The sequence below is a fragment of the Homo sapiens genome, chromosome 8 (genome assembly GCF_000001405.40).
Source record: "Homo sapiens chromosome 8, GRCh38.p14 Primary Assembly".
NCBI lineage: Eukaryota > Metazoa > Chordata > Mammalia > Primates > Hominidae > Homo > Homo sapiens.
In genome coordinates, this window is record NC_000008.11 from 72,515,971 (window position 1) to 72,534,824 (window position 18,854).

Genomic DNA, 18,854 nt, shown 5'->3' on the forward strand with positions numbered 1-18,854 from the left:
ATAGCAGAATGAATAAATTGTGGTAAGTTTATACAATAGAACACTTTAGGCAATACAAATGAATTAATAACATCAACATAGATAATGCTGAAAAGAAACCTTGAGCACAAAAAACAAGTATCAGAATGACAGGTAAGAATGAAACCAATTATATGAACACACAAAAAGAGATCTCTATTGTTTATGAATACATACATATGCACATGCAAATTATAGAATCAGGCCCAGGAAGAATTCATCCTCACATCAAGACAGTGGTTACCTCTGGGGAGAGTGGGAGGAGGAAATTGAACAGGGATGTGGGTGAAATGACTTTATCTGTGTGACACGACTCGCTTTTGAAAAAGAGAGCTGAAGAAAATATGTCAAAATATTGCCATTTTATATACTTAAGAGATGGGTAGACAAGTGTCATAGTTTCTGTATTTTTCCACATATTAAACAGCTATTTACTTTAAAACATTTAAAAAACAATTTAAATTCTTTATAAGTATAAGAAGCAAAATCAGTCTTCTCTCCTCTGAAAATGTTATCTTTCCAGATTTCTCTTTTGCTTGAATAAGAAGATATACATGTATTTTAATCTGTATCATTGTACGTAGGTGTACTTCATTCTCTGTATTTTTCCACAATATAGATATGTCATAATTTTATATACTGATTATTTTATTGATAAGGATTTCGTTTTCCAGAAGTGTTTTTGTTTGTATGTTTGTTGTCATCTTGTTTTGTTTGTTTAGGGAGAAACTGCTACTAAAACAATTCTGTAATAAATAAACTTGTGTATTAATCCTGATGTGCTGCACTTTTACTTCTGCCATATAAATTCCCAGAAGTTTCTAGGTCAAAGAGTATGCACATTTTACATTTTAATGACTTATCAAATTGCTTGCAAGAACAGTAGTAATATTTCATTTTCCTACTAATTCTGTAGTATTCCACACATCCTGGCCAACACTCGAAGTTATCCATCTTTTCCACCTTTGACACTTTAAATCATTGGTTTCTTGGTGTTGTGTGTGTGTGTGTGTGTTTCATTTTCCTGAAACTTGTAAATTTGAGCATCTTTCCTATGCTTACTAAGCATTTGTGTTTTCTCCTCTGAAAATTGCCTGTTAGTATTTTTTTCTCTTATCAAAATCAATGTGTTATCTGCTATGTAATTCATTCATTTGTTCAGTAAATTTATGGAACAGATAGTATGTGCCTGGGACTAAGTTAGATTCTGAGTGGTCATAGGCAATTAAGATACAGATTGTATCCTCAAAGAGTCCAGGAGAGGGAGATAAGCAAATTTGAGTGACAAAGTGTTAGTGGTACTGGGAGAAATGTCTGTCTAAACAGAGCACAATTAGCTGCTTTTGGGGACTCAGGACAGCATAACCTTAATATAGCATATGATGCTTCCGTTGCTGGGTCTTGCAAATGAGTAGGTACTTGCTTCTAGTTCCTTCAGAGTGCTTCAGCAGTCTCCCCACAGCTGGAGATCTGTGCAAGAGAAAAAGGCAATGCAAGTTTAGAAAACTGTGTGAATAAAACCATGCAGGTGGAACGTTTAGATTAGGGCCCAGGAATCAGACCACTGAGATAGGAAATCAGGAGGAGATGTTGCCACTTCCCAAGAGAGATGAGGGTGAAGAATTTGAAGAGCCTGGGGAATATTCAGCTGGAGACATTCAGCAGACAGTTGAATAACATGTCTGGAGCAAGGAAGACTCATTCAAGTTAGAAATCTAGTTGTGAGAGTCCTCAACATACAGGGAGCGATGTGTCATTAGTTACAGCAATGTTAAAGTTACACTAGCTCTCTGGGCTTTCTGATGTATAGGGCAGTTTGCAGGCAAATTAAATGTCCTCCAGTTCCTATTTTCTAAAACTCTTGTGACTGCTTTATTGTTTTTTGTTTGTTTGTTTAACATTGTTTCCCTCACTTTTAGTTGTCATTTGATGCAGTCAAGGATCTCGTATTATACTCCCTTTCTCTCCCTTAAGAAACTCTGTACATAGGAATCAGTTAACAAAATTTTTAGGATTGTGTGTATATATTAACATCAGTAGCCATTAATATAACTTACACGAGGGGGCTGAGAATCTCTCTTGGTAAAATATTGAAACATGAGCTTCATGTCTTTTAAGAACTTTGTGGTTTATATCCTGATTCAGGTGTGTTTTTCAGGATAGGTTAAGGACTCAGATCCTTGAGTTCTGGATCAATGAATCTGTCTATAGCCTCAGACATAATCTCAGTATTTTAATCACCTTCACAGATAAGTTATTTATGAATTAAATTTTTAAAGAAAAGCTTTTAACCCAGAGATTTACATTTTCATTTCAGAGATGCTTGAAGATGAATCTTTAGTTGCCCTTCTTTGACCACTTTAGCTTGAACACCTTCTTCATCAAGTAGTTTATATGATTTAGGACTAACAGTAAAGTGCAGATGGAGCCCTCACTATTTAAAGAGACATATCACTGACTCCTTAGCAAGCCAAATATTGTTTTGTAATCAAATAATTACCTCAGATTATACTGATTTATGAATTCTTATCTGATCTTATATTTTCTTTTCTTATTTGGCATTGCATTTTATATTTTATCTTACACTATCAAAACAAGATATACACATGGCTAGAAAATCAAATAGAAGGGCTTGTAGTGAAAAGAAGCCTGCTGCTTCCTCTTTCCAACCCACTTGCTTGCTCTTTAGAGGAAACCCTTTAAAAATGTTCATTTCTAGTGCCTTCGGAGTGCTGCAACAATCTCCCAATTGCTCATTAAGGCTCATTACTTATTGTTGTTTGTGGTTTTACAAGTTTTTTTACAGTGTCTACTGACTTCCTACTATGATAGGTGAGGGTTGATCTCATCTATACCTCCTCATTTCACCTTTATTTTTTCCTTACCTCCATGTTGTTTTTCACTATTCTTATTTCTTTTATTGGATACCTACATAATTTTAAACAACTTGCATAAACTTCCACTTTCTAGTCCAATAACCATAGACAGTTTTCACTTTCCCTTCATTGTAAGTGATCAGAATATAGATGCACCAGCTTTCACTTCATTCCTTGGAGTGAATGGTATTCATTCCAATACCATTTTCCAATTCCTTATCTTTTATATTGTTAAGGTAATATCCCTTACATTCTTTTCTGTAATACAGTAAGTCCCTGATTTGTCTATGGGTTACTTTTTAAAATTGAAAGTATAATGAAAAATTCAAAGTTTATAGTACTATTAATGTGTAAATTTTGCTTTCTGCAGAACCAAGTTGTGTGATAAAATTACATTTTTTCTCAGCTACTCGGGAGGCTGAGGCAGAAGTATCACTCGAACCTGGGAGGCAGAGGTCGCAGTGAGCCGAGATTGTGCTGCTGCACTCCAGCCTGGGTGACAGAGTGAGACTCTGTCTCAAAAAAGGAAAAAGAAATTACATTTCTTCTTCTAAGATCTAATGGCACAATTGCTGCGCTACTCAAAGGAAACATTTCTACAGTCAGGCTGGAATGGATTATTTTTTTCTCTGTTCCACCACATGCCTTTACCATATTCTCAAGTTTATCAAAACCCTCATTCTATCTAATTAATTGAATCCTCTTCTCTCCCTAAGACTAGTATTTGAAAACCTCTCCCCCCTCGCTCCTATTTGGACTGGTTACTCTTCAGGCTTATGCAAAACTATAATTTGGGGATTGTATACATTGTTATTCTGGTTTGGTACTTCTGTCTCCCAAAGCCTATCTTGTCTTCTTCCTTAGTTTGGTTGGAATACCTACTTAAGTAACTTTTTAAGAAATGATGAGCATCATAAAGACAGATATATAGACCAATGGAATATAACATGGAGCCCAGAAATAAACTCTCACATATATAGTCAAACTATTTTTGATGAGGTATTCAAGACCATTCAATGAGGAAAGGATAGTCTTTTCAACAAACGGTGCTAGGAAAAATGGACATCCACATGCTAAAGAATTAAGTTGGATCCTTAACTTACACTATATATAAAAATTAACTCAATATATCAAAGTCTTAAATGTAAGAGCTAAACCTATAAAATTCTTAGAAAAAAAAATAGAGGAAATCGTCATGCCATTGGATTTGGCAATGATTCCTTAGGTAAGATATCAAAAGCACAGACAACAAAAGGAAACAGTAGTTAAATTTCATCAAAATAAAACACTTTAGTGTTAAAGGACAAAATCATGATGTTGAAAAGGCAACCTATAGAATAGGAGAAAATATTTGCAAATCATATGCTGATAAGGGATTAATATCCAGAAAATATAAAAAACCTCTATGACTCAAAAACAAAAAAATAAACAACCAAAATGCAAATCAAAACCACAATGTGATAGTACTTTTCCAGCAAACCACCATGGCACATGTATACCTACATAACAAACCTGCAGGTCCTACACATGTATCCCAGAACTGAAAATACATATATTAAAAAAGTAATGGCAAAAACCACAATTACTTTTGAACCAACATAATATTATAAAACAAAACAAAACAGAAACTAATACGTGTTGGGGAGGATGAGAAGAAATTGGAACACTTGTGCATTGCTAGTGGGAATATAAAATAGTGTAGCTGCTGTGGAAAACAGTATGGAAGTTCCTCAAAAAATTAAACATAGAATTACCATATGATCCAGCAATTCCATTTCTGGGTATACACCCAAAAGAATTTGAAGCAGGGACTAGAACAGATATTTTCACACAAATATTCATATAAGCATTATTCACAGTAGCCAAAAGTGGAAACACCCTAAATGTCCATTGATAGACGAATGGATAAACAAAATGCAGCATAAGCATACAATGGAATATTATGAAGGCAATAAAAGGAATGAAATTTTGATACATATTACAACATGGATAGACCTTGAAAATATTATGCTAATTGAAATAAGTGAAACACAAAAGGTCAAATATTATAGGATTCCACTTATAACAGGTATCTAGAATAGTGAAATTCATAGAGACTGAAAGTAGAATAGGGGTGACCAGGGCTGCAGGGGGGTAGTAGTAATAGGTAGTTATTGTTTAATGGATACAAAATTTCTGTTTGGCATGATACAAAAATTTTAGAATGGATACGGGATGGTTGCATAATAATGAAAATGTATTTAATACCACATAAATCATACACTTAGCCGAGATTGCACCACTGCACTCCAGCCTGGGGGACAAAGAGAGACACCATCTCAAAAAAAAAGAAAAAAAAATTGCTAAAATTGTAAATTTTGTTATGTGTATTTTACCACAGTAAAAATTTTAACATTATGGAAAAATAAGATAAGCTACTTAGAATATGTTTTAAAAGTGATGAGTGAGAAGAAAATATTTTGAGTCCTTAAAAGTCTAAAACTCTTTTTAATTTTCCCTTAGACTTTATTGATAGTTCAGCAAAGTGTCAAAATTCTAGGTTGAAAATAGTTTTTACTCAGAAATCTAAAGACTTTTCCTGTGAAAAATCTGAAGACAGAGTGGTTTCTCATTTTAATCTTGGAAGTTCCTGGGAATGTGGCATGTTTTCTTAAAGTAAAACCTACCTACTGAAGACATGAGAAATTCAGAGTGACCTTTTCCCTTATATTTTCAACAAAGGATAAAGCTTCAAACTTAACTTATGGTTACTTTACCTGTTTAAAACAATCTAACAGAATAGAGAACCCAGAAATAAATCCACATACCTACAGTCAACTCATTTTTGACAAAGATGCCAAGAACACTCATTAAGGAAGACAGTCTTTTCAATAAATGGTGCTGGGAAAACTGCATATCCATCAGCAGAAGAATGAAACTAGACTCCCACTCCTCCCTATACAAAAATCAACTTAAAATGGGTCAAAGATCTAAGTGTAAGACCCAGACTAATGAAACTACTACAACAAAATATAAGAGAAACACTTCAACATTGGTCTAAGAAAAAAATTTATGAGTAAGACCTCAAAAGCACGGGCAACAAAAGCAAAAATAAACAAATGAGATTATATGAAGCTAAAAACCTCTGCACAGCAACGAAAACAAAAGAGTGAAAAGACAACCCACAGAAAGGGAGAAAATATTTATAAAGTACTTATCAGACAGACAATTGTCATCCAGAGTATACAAGGACTCAAACAACTCAACTGCCAAAAAAAAAAAAAAAAAAAACCCAGACAATCCGATATAAAAAGTGAGCAAATTATCTGAACAGGCATTTCTCAAAGAAGACACACAAATGGCCAACGAATATATGAAAAAATGTTCAGCATCACTAATCATCAGGCAAACACAAATCAAAACACAATGAGCCAGTTAGGATGCCTATCATTAAAAAGACAATAAACAAATAAATAAATAACAAATGCTGGAAAAAATTCGGAGAAAAGAGAACTCTTATATACTGCTGGTGGGAATGTAAACTAGTACAACCGCTATGGAGAACAGTGTGAAGGTTCCTCAGAAAATTACAAATAAAACTACTATATGATCCAGCAATTCCACTACGGGGAATTTATCCAAAGGAAAGAAAATCATATCAAAGAGACCTCTATGCCCCCATGTTTATTGCAACACTATTCACAATAGCCAAAATATGGAATCATCCTAGGTGTCCAACAACAGATGAATGAATAAAGAAAATGTGGTATATGTACACAATGGAATACTATTCCGCCATTAAAAAGAGTGAAATTCTGTCACTGAAGGCAAGATGGATGGAACTGGAGGATGTTAAGTGAAATAAGCCAGGAACATAAACACCACATGTTCTCACTCATTTGTGGAAGCTAAAAAAGTTGAACTCATAAAAGTAAAAAATAGAACAGAGGCTGGGAAGGGCAAGGGAAGGGAGAGATAGACTGAGATTTATTAAAAGATACAAAATTACACCTAGATGGGAGGAAAAAGTTCTATATTAGTGGTCCCCAGCTTTTTTGGCACCTGGGACCAGTTTCACGGAAGACAGTTTTCCCACAGACAGGGGCAGAGGGTGGGGGTGGTTTGGGGATGAAACTGTTCCACCTCAGATGATGAGGCTTTAGTTAGATTCTCATAAGGAGCACACACCTAGATCCCTCGCATGCGCAGTTCACAATAGGGTTCACGCTTCTATGAGAATCTAAGGCCGCGACTGATCTCACAGGAGGCAGAGCTCAGGCCGGAATGCTCTCTTGCCTGCAGCTTACCTCCTGCTGTGCAGCCCAATTCCTAACAGGCCACAGTTCCCAACCACATGAGTATGGGACCGGGGGGTTGGGGACCCCTATTCTATACACTGTAGGATGACTATAATTAACAATAATATATTTTAGAGTTTTAAATAGCTAGAATGAGGATACTGGACATTCCCAACACAAAGGAATGATAAATGTTTGAGATGATGGATATGCTAATTACCTGCAGCTGATCACTGTGCATTATATATATCAAAACATCACTGTGTATCCCATGAATAAGTACAATTATTATCTGTCAATTAAAATTTAAAAATAAATACATACACAAAGTACTAATAAATAAAATTTAAAAAAATAGACCTGGCGCGGTGGCTCACACCTGTAATCCCAGCACTTTGGGAGGCTAAGGTGAGTGGATCACGAGGTCAGGCATTCGAGACCAGCCTGGCCAACATAGTGAAACTCTGTCTCTACTAAAAATACAAAAAATTAGCCAGGCGTGGTGGTGGGTGCCTGTAATCCCAACTACTTGGGAGGCTGAGGCAGGAGAATCGCTTGAACCTGGAAGGTGGAGGTTGCAGTGAGCCGAGATCATGCCACTGCACTCCAGCCCAGGCAACAGTGCAAGACTCCATATAACAAAACAAAACAAATCCAAAAATTGGTTGTGGTGTTTAAAAATAAGTCATCCCCACGAGTTTTAGATCACTGCAACCAATTGGCCATATACCTCCAATTAAGACAAGATTTTCCATACCTCTTCCAATAAGGAGTTTGAATCTTATGTGGATATATTTTTCTTGTTATGCTATGTTGCAACTTAGAAATACTAAAGTCCTACCTCCTAATTAAGGACGATAGATCCTTATATAAAAAATAGCGTGGAAAACCATGAAACTAATCATTAACTGTAAAGACAAAAGCACTGTTGGGACTGATTTTATCAAGGGAGACTGCTCACTATCTTTTGATCCTGGAATTTTAATTAAAATGATGTGTTTCAATTTTTCATTTTCTTCCTTTAAATGAGAAGACTACCAAGGCTGAAGGCTTAAATACAAACCAGAAATAATTATAATATATTGGTAAGAGCCATACTTTCGAGTAAACTTTTTTTATGTACTTATGCTCTGAGTTCATTTTCAGTAACTAATAATATGAACATAGTTGAGTTGTCCTCTAAATACTTTATGTATATAATAGACATTACAACCCACACATCCATAAGCTTATACAATACTGCTTTTATGTTACCTATTATTACTAGATAAATAAATATAATCTTTTCCGCAACCAGAAAGTCAATGATGAATGCCTCCTAAATGATATCAAGAAACATAAACAATGTTAATGATTATTACTTGCACCTTAATTCTGTTTACAATCTGTGAGCAACTTCATATGGCTGATTTCAGAATTTGAATTGAATTATCTGTACTCCTTAAAGCCATACTAGATTTGGGGCCTAATTACCTTTATATCCAGCAACATAGCAACACAGTCAACTATGGTACTGCAGTCAGCTGTTCTCACACCTGAGTGCAGAAACTCAAGGCAATGTTTCCACATGGAGACCATCACCACCATTCCCTTGTTGGTCTTTAGGGCTCAAAGCAAGATGCATGCTTTTGTTTTGCAACATTCTATTGAATTTTCTGCCTACTGGATTTAGTTTAACTTGATGTAATGCTATTACTTTTTCCAGTAGTCAATGTTGTCTTACACATTTAGTAAACAGTCACATTATATTATTGTTTTATGGGATTTTAGCCTGCTGTTGAAATCTGGCAGCACTGGGATCAGAAAAAGAAGAAAAGGACAAATAGCAATTGAATAAGCCCATCTTACAGGGACCACTGCTTTTGGTACTGTGACTTTCTTTGTAGTTGTGGCCCTCCTCTGAAATGGGAGTCAACTCCATCATCACGTTATTGTTAAACTCCCATTCCACCATAAACATAGACCTGCATCTTAATTTTTTGTAAAGATTTACAAACCCTATGATGTATCTCACCAAATCTAACTTTAATAATACTATAATCTCTAAAGCAGGACACGTGGCATTCTTAATATTTTACATTCATGTGGTTCTTTGCATATTATGAATAATATTTTATATACCTAATCTTACTTAATCTTCAAATAAATTCCATGAGAATGGAATTATTACTTCTATTTTATAGATGAGAAAACAGAGGCTCAGTGAGGTAAAGGGATTTGCCTAGGGTTGCACAGCTATTCATCGTCAAGGCCGGGATGTTAGCCCAGCCTTCTGAAACCACCTTCATGCTTTTGCAAGTGTCTAACACTTACGCTGGTTGCTTTCCATATATTATAATGTGGGAAAATTTAAAAGAGGCGACTCTTGATTCAAGTGTTTCAGCATGTCTTATTTCAGAGTAAGTGAGTAAAATTGTGTATAGCTTGACAATCAAGGTTTTCCACAGTCTTGTTTGAACTTTCATTGTTAACTCTATTACTCTCCAATCTCTATATGTGCTTTGGCTCTAGTGACACTGAGCTAGTTTTTTCCTAAGAAATGATAAAAATGTAAATTGTTACAAAAATTTGGGTTATTAATTTATTTTGACTAAGTCCCCACTGTGAGTCAGCTACTGAGAAAACACAAAGAGAAAGAAGAATTCATGCTTATTGAGAGCCTTCCAGGATTGACACCTTTACATGTTATTTTAAATTGATACATAATACGTACTTATACAGTACATGTGATAACTTGATACATGCATACAATGTGTAATTATCAAATTGGAGTATTTAGGATAACCATTACTTCAAACACTGATCATATTTTTGTGTTGGGGACATTTCAAATCTTCTCTGCTAGCTCTTTTGAAATATTCAATAAATTATTGTTAACTATAGTCACCTGACTGTGCTATTGAAGATAATGTTATTCCTTCTATCTAACTGTATGTTTTTACTCATTAACCAATCTCCCTTTATCTCACAACCCACCCTTCCCAGCCCCTTGTAACATTCATTCTACACTCTGCCTCCATGAAATCAACTTTTTAAAACTCCTACATATGAGTGAGAACATGTGATATTTGTCTTTCTGTGTCTGGCTTTTTTCACTTAACATAATGACCCCTAGTTCCATCCATGTTGCTACAAATTAGAATTTTTAATGGCTGAATAGTATTTTGTTATGTATATATACCACATTTTCTCCTAAATGAAGTTTCAAGATGGGTATATCTTCTTCCTTCTTACAAACCAACATCCCAAGGCTTTGAGAAGCTAAATAACTTGCCCATTCTCATGGTAATGTTTTGAGTTTTTATTGAGCCATACAGATGGTTGTGACTTCAAAGCTAGTGGTTTTTAATTATTTATCTACCAAATTTCTCTTAAGATGTTGATCATCTAATTAAACAAACAGATGGCCTTTGAAATTCTCTATGAAAATTAATTATGAGACAGTATTTAATATATATATTGTAAATCTAATCTATGATGGAAAAAATATGTCTATTCCTAAATGTTACCATTTTCTAGAATAGATGAGTAGCAGATAATAGGTTATAGTTTAGGAGACTTTCTTCTACCTAAAGCAGCCAAGAAAGGCTTCAGGGTGTAAATGAGATTTAAGTGGGACTTTTCAGAATTCTGACTGGTGAAGAAGGAAAGAAAGAGTATTCCAAGATAAGAACATGGGGTAGTTGAAATTACATAACTGAGAAAGTTCACGTCTCTTTGACGGATAGTGACTACAGGAATATGTGTTGGGAATGAGGGTGGTAACATGGGAGTAGAGTCAAATCATGGAAACCTTTGAACCTCCGGCTACAGACTGGGGATTTATCCTATAGACAACAGGGAATCATTCTTAAATCCAGCTGCAATGTTCTTAAACCAAACAGTAAACATTTTGGAAGGGGAGATGGGAAGGAAATTTCCATTGGAGGGAACTGTGGGTATGAGGCAAGGAACGAGGCAGTGTATGTGCATGTGCGTGTGTGTGTGTGTGTGTATGTTTGTGCATATGCAAGACTAGATTAGAAGATACTGGGAAAGAAAAATCAGGACTTGGTAAGTAACAATGTGGGGAGGAGCAGGCTATGAATTAAGATGACTGTCAAAGCTTCGATGCTGGGGGATGGTGATATCATGGGTAGGCATGGTGATAAGGAGGAAGTGCTCTTAATAATGATTTCTATACCTAGCTACTTGTGATGGGTTTCATATCTCTGACTATCTCAGGATTTCTATATCTGTTTCCTCATTAATTTGAGATCATGGCATAATATCCCAGTGAAAGGATCCAAAAGACAGTTGGAAACATAACACTAATTGTTAGAAAATTGTTCAAGGGTTAGAAAATATGGCTTTGGAAGTTGTCTGCATAGAGATGAAAGTTCTAGGGGTGGCAATGGTTCCCAAGGGAGAAAAATGTAGTGACATCAGAGAGGAAGACACATTCAACACTTAGTTGTCTTTCCTCATTTCACTGTTTCCATGCAACTTTCCAAGGAATAATGTAACTTGTGGTAGAATTGAGTATGTATTTATTAGCTACTAAAACTGCAAGTCTAACTTTGATAGATATAGAACTGTTCATCAAGTGTGATCATATGAAGAAGAGGAGGAAGGAGTGTTAAATAGGAAAACTAAAAACCTTGCTAAATCCACAAATTTATTTAGGAAAAAAATGCAGTACTTTGTGCTGAAATCATTTACTACGAGATAGCCAAGTAAATTTTCATTTTGACATGACTTAGAATTTCAATTCTCTAAATACATAAGTATGACAGGATATAGCAATAGGTAGTCCAAGTATTTAATAATGTTAATGCTTATAGAACCTGATATAACTATACATTTTCAACATAAAAGAGGCCCCAAGATATATTATCTAATGTGCCTTATTATTTAAATAATCAAAGAAAGCATCACATCTCAGTTGCTCATTATGTTGTTGAGCATTATCAGAAAAAAATGTTCTAATAAACAGCATTTTGGGGGGTTTTGGGGGTTTTCTTTGAGAGTATGACAAAAGAAACTCCTTATCATGAGCAGTTACCCTCTGTAAGTCTAAGTATCTTTTTATTTTGTTTCGTTTTGTTTTCTTTTAAGAGGGGCTTACTATACTTGACACCTAAAGAATAATACTTTGTATTTTGTAATTTTTTGTATATTGTAAAATGCATCTTTTTTAAAATAGAAGGTTTAATTTTCTTTAATCTTATGTTTTATTGTATGCATTTTAAACAATTGAATATAATCTCCATATTATCTTCACACTTACATCATCATTCTTTGGACATAGGACTTCTACATCTCAGTTTCATCATCATTTTTCTAACAGTACAATTTTAATGTCCCTCTTCCTATTTTCCTCTTTAATTGTTTGTATTACTCCTTTCCAACTCCTTCTAATGTGGCTACGTTCTTCTGGTAATAAAGTGTAGAGCGTCAACTGTAATTTTCCAGGTCAAATCTTAACAGAGTCATTTAAATGTCAGCAGCCACGTTTTTCAAATGGAGATGCCAGGAGTATTTTATAGCTCTGAAAGCCAAACAATAATATTGTCTATGGGCACTCAAATTTCACGCTTCAGGGAATAAACTGGAGAGTTTGTAAAGAGACAGAAAAGTGTTTCTTCCTTCTTCGGCATTAGCTATTTAACTAATTCAATATATCCACTCTGCTTTTTCATTAATTTTTTTTGCATTAGTTTCTAGTTCTATAACTATTGGTAATTGCCATAAGCAATACAGAACATTACATAAGCCAATAACCTGGCACTGTATTGAAAGTCTTATGCCTGGGAAGTCTCTTGAGCTTGTAGTTCTTAATAGGTAAATTTCATTTTAGGTATTACATAGAAACACATTCTTCTCCAGACAATTATTTCATGATATCCTATATGGTACCCTTCAGATTTTTGTGCAAAATGCTGAACCCCAGAGATTTTTCATAGGAATACAATTATTAGAAATATTTTTAATTAATGCAACTTAGAGTATGTGATGAGATTACACTAGATTTCTTTTGCGTCAACTGTTATCAAATGGAGTTGTCATGACTACTGCATTCAGTAATTTTAAAACAATATAAAAGATTGACACATTTTTCTCTGGGTACCATAGATGGGAACCTCACCTGATAGTAGTGATGTACACCTCTGGTTATCATATCAAGGTCTAATTTTGGTGTTGAGAATAAGTACAGAAAGAAGGAACAAGAGAAATTCTCTAATGCAAGTGAGATTTCAGCCCCCAATCCAATTAGCATTAACCACAACAGGAATGTGTTTTTTTATTTTTGTTGCTGTTCTCAGGAGAGGTTAGTTTTCTATTACACTCACTTTCTTATGTGGTGGAAAGGAATATGAAAAGATGTGTCATAGCTAACTTAAATCTCATGAAGAGTTGCTTCTTTAATGAAACCAATATCACCCACAAAGTGCCAGATGAATTGATCGATTGCTGGGGCAGTTTGGGAACTTATTTGAAAGTAGGGGCAGCAAGTCAAATTAGATTGTTTTGTGCTAATTAGACTCATTTAGCAAGATTAAATTTCCATGTTTGATTCTCCTTTTCCATATCTGATTATCTCTGTAAGCACTGTGATTAGCTAAACCAAATATGAAATATAACAAATTCTAAAATCTGGTTGGCCTTGTTTAGCTATGCCTAGAGTAGAAGTGGTGGTGGAGAGGAATGGTCATTTACAAGTCTTGCTTTAAATTTTTTTCATTTCTGTTTTTTTAAATTTCAGTCAAAATCACTTGCTCTGTTCTAAAATATATACCTGTGTTTGTTGAAACAAGTCTTTTATTGACTAGAAATAGATGATTAAACAGAACCAAACATTTAAAATGCCCTTTGATAATATTTTACATCAAATCATATATATGTAACATATGAAGTCAAATATTGAATATGAGTGCCATAATTTGTATATGTATTCAAGTCCATAAAGTGGCAATTTGTTAGTAGTAATTAAGCAACCTGTAGGGTGGCATTATTGAAAAAAAAATTATTTTGTCTTTGTAGTGGTATTTTAAGTACAATGTGCTTATAATTGAGTTCATATACCTTCTCATATGAGTTTATCAATTTTCACATCTATTTATCTTTAATACTAATTGTTCTTCAATAATCATTGTGTTAAGTTCTTGATATAATTTTATTGAATATACAATGTTAGAATGCTTATAAAACACTCTGACTTTTTATACTTGTTACCAAAATACATTTTATTTAGAAAAAAACTTTAAAACATAACTTTAATTAGTTCTGGGAAATCATGATTGTCAAGCTATAGATCCTAGGAATGACCAATATTTCTATTTGATACTGCAAATAAGGTTTTGAAGGTACAAGAGTACCAACTACAAGGAAGACCAAAAAATGTAGCAACATTACTTTTTCATCATTCTTAGAATTAATGACACCTTCGAAAGTATGTTTCAGCTGAATGTATTATCAGCTCATGCTTTATTCCCAGAAGGGAACAAAAGCGCTATTGGGACTAGTTACCACAATTTAAACTCAATTGATTTTTTGAGTCTTGTGTCCACATGGAAATTTTTCAGAAAAGACTGAGGGTAGCTAATTTAATCCTGCTTTTTATGGCTTTTGACAGGCAAGGTCCTTGCCTGGCCAGTAGGGATATATTCTGTCATTATATCCACTTTTTGTTTATAATGATGTGAAGTCTGGAGCTGGGAATAATGCCCTTGTATTTGCAAAGCACCTCTTTCACTTGTAACTGGTTACACCTCCTCTACTGTTGATGATTCCATTTCCTCTTGTTCAAAGCATAGGAAGTGCTTTAAATTTGCTTTTACTGTCTTTCTTTCTTCTTTTGAGACATAGTCTTGCTTTGTCGCGCAGGCTGGAGTGCAGTGGTGTGATCTCGGCTCACTGCAACCTCTGCCTCCTGGGTTCAAGCGATTCTCCTGCCTCAGCCTCCCAAGTAGCTGGGACTACAGGCACCTGCCACCACGCCTGGCTAATTTTTGTATTTTTACTAGAGACGGGGTTTCACTATGTTGGCCAGGCTGGTCTTGAACTCCTGACCTCGTGATCACCCCACCTCAGCCTCCCAAAGTACTGGGATTACAGGTGTGAGCCACCATGCTCGGCCCTAAATTTGTTATTTCTAAGGGCCCCAGAGCTTTTTGCTCCACTGTGCTGGTGGTACGTTCAAAATCTTGAAGTGTTTAGCACTACTGGGTGGATTATGATCCACATAGGTATCTTACCTGTGTAAGCCTGAAACCCTTCATCATAGTCCAAGGCAATATGCCTTGTGCCCCAAGTGCCCAGGCATCTCAGATCAAATTTACAGACAAAAGTCATTAGACTACTAGTGAGCCCTGTGGGTGGATCAGCACCAGTCTGCCTGCTGGGAAAACAAAAGATACATGACCTACCTCCATCACCCTTTACAACCAACAATCTTTATGTAGATTGTGTTTGGCAACACTCACATTTATACCTAAAAATAAAAATATAATAATTATTGTATATAATAATATACAATAATTACATAAGTATAATCATATAAATACATTTATATAAATATATATTAATACAAATCTATTAGCAATATATTATATTATGTTAATATATTATTATATTATATTAATACAATATAGCATTATTTTTATATTTATATCAATATAATTTTTATATAATTATATAATATATTTATATTAAGATAAATTTATTAATAATATAAATGAAGATTTATATTGATAAAATATAATCTATATAATATTTTATATAATAGTTTCCCACATGAACTCTAGACAATGTAATGAGAGAGCAGAAAGATGTTATCCATGAGGGGTGAAGTAGGCATAATATAGCCTAAAATTTTAAGGTCATATGGCCTTAGGTCAAATTCCAATTCATTTAAGTATGATCCTGAGTCAAAAATTCTCTCTAGTTCAGTTACCTCCTTTATTAACTGGGAGAACAACAATATTATCTACTTTAAATAACTATTTTATGGCTGAAATTAGCCAATACCTATAAAGAATTTAGACCAGTGACTGACATGTAGTAAGGCCTTTTATTTATCTTTGACTATACAGCACAATTACATAAGAGAGATGGGACTTGAATCTGACTAGGAATCCAATCCTTGTTCCACTACGTCTTGGAATAATGTGGCTAAATTTCAGATTCTACGTGGCATGTTTTTAACATTTCCAGTTCACTGGCCCCAGAAACCCCTTACCCTAAGCTTCATGGATTCCTAAGAACAAACGAGGCTGCTTAGACACTAATGATATCTGCAAATTGGTCTAAGTGTGGATTCAAACATAATACCTATAGTCATGCTATTACATGGCAGAAATACGTGTTTAAACATCTGGCATTTTTCAGAAAGTTCATACTCAGAATAAGAACTGTTAAAAAAATACAAATACAGTCAGTCTGGAGCTTATCTCTTACTTTAAATCATCAAAGGACAGCCAAATCTCAACTAACTATGAAAGAATCAATGAGATAGTACTTACCTCCTCAAGGAAGAACACACAGACAGCTCATTTATTTTTCAAACCTTCACAACAATGTGCTAGTGTAGGATTTCAGTGGCTAAGATTCTGTGAGTTGCTCAAACTTGCTCAAGCTTTCCTATATTTTTATTTAGAAGAAGAAAAGAAGGCATATTACATTTAACAATATGACAAATTCTGTGTACCCTTCAGTGGTCACTTTCTTGTATGACAATAAGTACCATAGTAATATTTGCCCTTATAAAAAAATAAATTTAAAAAGTACAGTCCCATTCTGTGTATATACGTGGTTTATGATTAAGAATGAAAGTAGTGTCTTCATGGTTCTGATAGTTGAAGATTAATATCTACCCTTTTTTGTATAACCAGTTTATACCAAATAAAACAAAACCTGCCTCTCAACTCAGAGATAACTCTTTTAGCTTGTTAATATACATCCTTCTAGAATATACACACATACCCACTCACAACACATTTACATATATGTTTATGTTTCTCCCTTTAATGGGATTCACGTTATTTTTTAATTTTTTTTTTTACTTTAATAGCTTTAGAAGTATAAGTGGTTTTTGGTTACACGGATGAATTGTATAGTGGTGAAGTCTAAGATTTTAGTACACCCATCACCGGAGTACTGCACTTTGTACCCAATGAGTAGTTTTCTATTCCTTACTTCCTTCTTACCCTTCCCCCTTCTGAGTCTCCAATGTCCATTATTCCATTCTGTATGCCTTTGTGTACCCATAGCTTAGCTCCCACTTATAAGTGAGAACATACAGTATTTTGCTTTCCATTACTGAGTTACTTCACTTAGAAAAATGGCCTCCAGCTCCACCCAAATTACTGCAAAAGACAATATTTCATTCTTTTTTATGGCTGAGTAGTATTCCATGTTATATTTATAGCACATTTGCTTTATCCACTGATTGGTTTATGGGCACTTAGGTTGGCTCCATATCTTTGCAATTGTGAATTGTGCTGTGATAAACATGTTGTTGCAGGTGTATCTTTTTTTTTATTGGTTTTGCTCAGATACTTCATTCAGCCAAAAAATACCAAGAATCTATTATGTTTGGTATTGTGTACAAATACATATATATTTTTATACACCAGCATATGATACATGAGGAAACACATTCTTCCTCTACATTGTATCTAATGATACGCATAAGGCTATTTCAGGTTAAATTTATACTACAGTTATTTATTTTACCAAGCATTATGAAGAAAGCATTTTGACATCCCAAACAGATATTTCTCTCCTTTACTGTAATATAATTTAGTCATAACTCAAGGTAATTCTGAGAAATTGAAATACAAGCAAAAGGAACAGTTCCGTAAATATCAATAAACAAAAGACTTAAAGGGAGCAATGTGAAAACATGTCTGACTTTTCAGCTAGATCATTTAAATTTTTTCTTTGGCAAACAACTGAACAAAACCCCAAATTACCCAAATTTACTAAGGAAGTGGAGCCACATGATGATAATCAACACAAGAGTCTCTGCAGCCATCCGGAATTCAAGCTGTGCATACGGAGAACTCTGCTATTCCAAACAACTTGTATACCAGGGGTGATTCTCTATAATCCATTTGAGCTATGAGTCATTTAGGAAGCAAAATTAGACTTATTTTCCCCCCAAAGATTGTTTTTACTTGTCATTGCATGCTCATATACAGGGCTCAGAGCTGATGGATAACTTACTCCTAGTACCCTGCTTCCCAGAAATGGAGATAGCAGCATTGTGTTTTACCCAATGGATAATTTACTCTCTTGACTAATGACCACTTAGATAGTAGGCAAAAGGATTCAGATTTCTAAAATCTAATGGAAATTTAAGGTAAAAACTTAAACAAATATTTGTCAAATTATTAAATTCTTAGCGAGGCGATCACTAATGTTGATACAGAGCTACTAAAGAAAGATTTTTGGCACCCCTAAATTTATAAAAAGTCATGTTAAGTTTAGGCACACTCAAAATTAATTTGAGGAATTCTAGCCTAAAACTATTTTGTAAATTTCATTCAATTAACAAATATTGAGGGACTGATAAAAACTACAAAATAAATCTTTGTTAGATGAATAGGTATCTCTCACATGTGTGGCTTTGGGTTAGACGTAAAGAATGCAAACCATAAAGGGACATGGAATTGTTTCTGGAGGAACCCAGAATTTAAAA

At 34.4% G+C, this 18,854-nt stretch overlaps 1 long non-coding RNA gene across 1 annotated transcript; it reads right to left on the reverse strand.

Annotated features, from left to right (window-relative positions):
- Window positions 1-363: 363 nt before the first annotated feature.
- On the reverse strand, window positions 364-17,406 carry LOC105375897 (uncharacterized). The gene is made up of 3 exons (XR_929042.3): window positions 16,675-17,406; window positions 15,580-15,644; window positions 364-1,488 (listed from the first exon to the last, which is right to left on the reverse strand). It is a non-coding gene; the product is annotated as an uncharacterized LOC105375897 (long non-coding RNA).
- Between the last annotated feature and the right edge of the window lie 1,448 nt (window positions 17,407-18,854).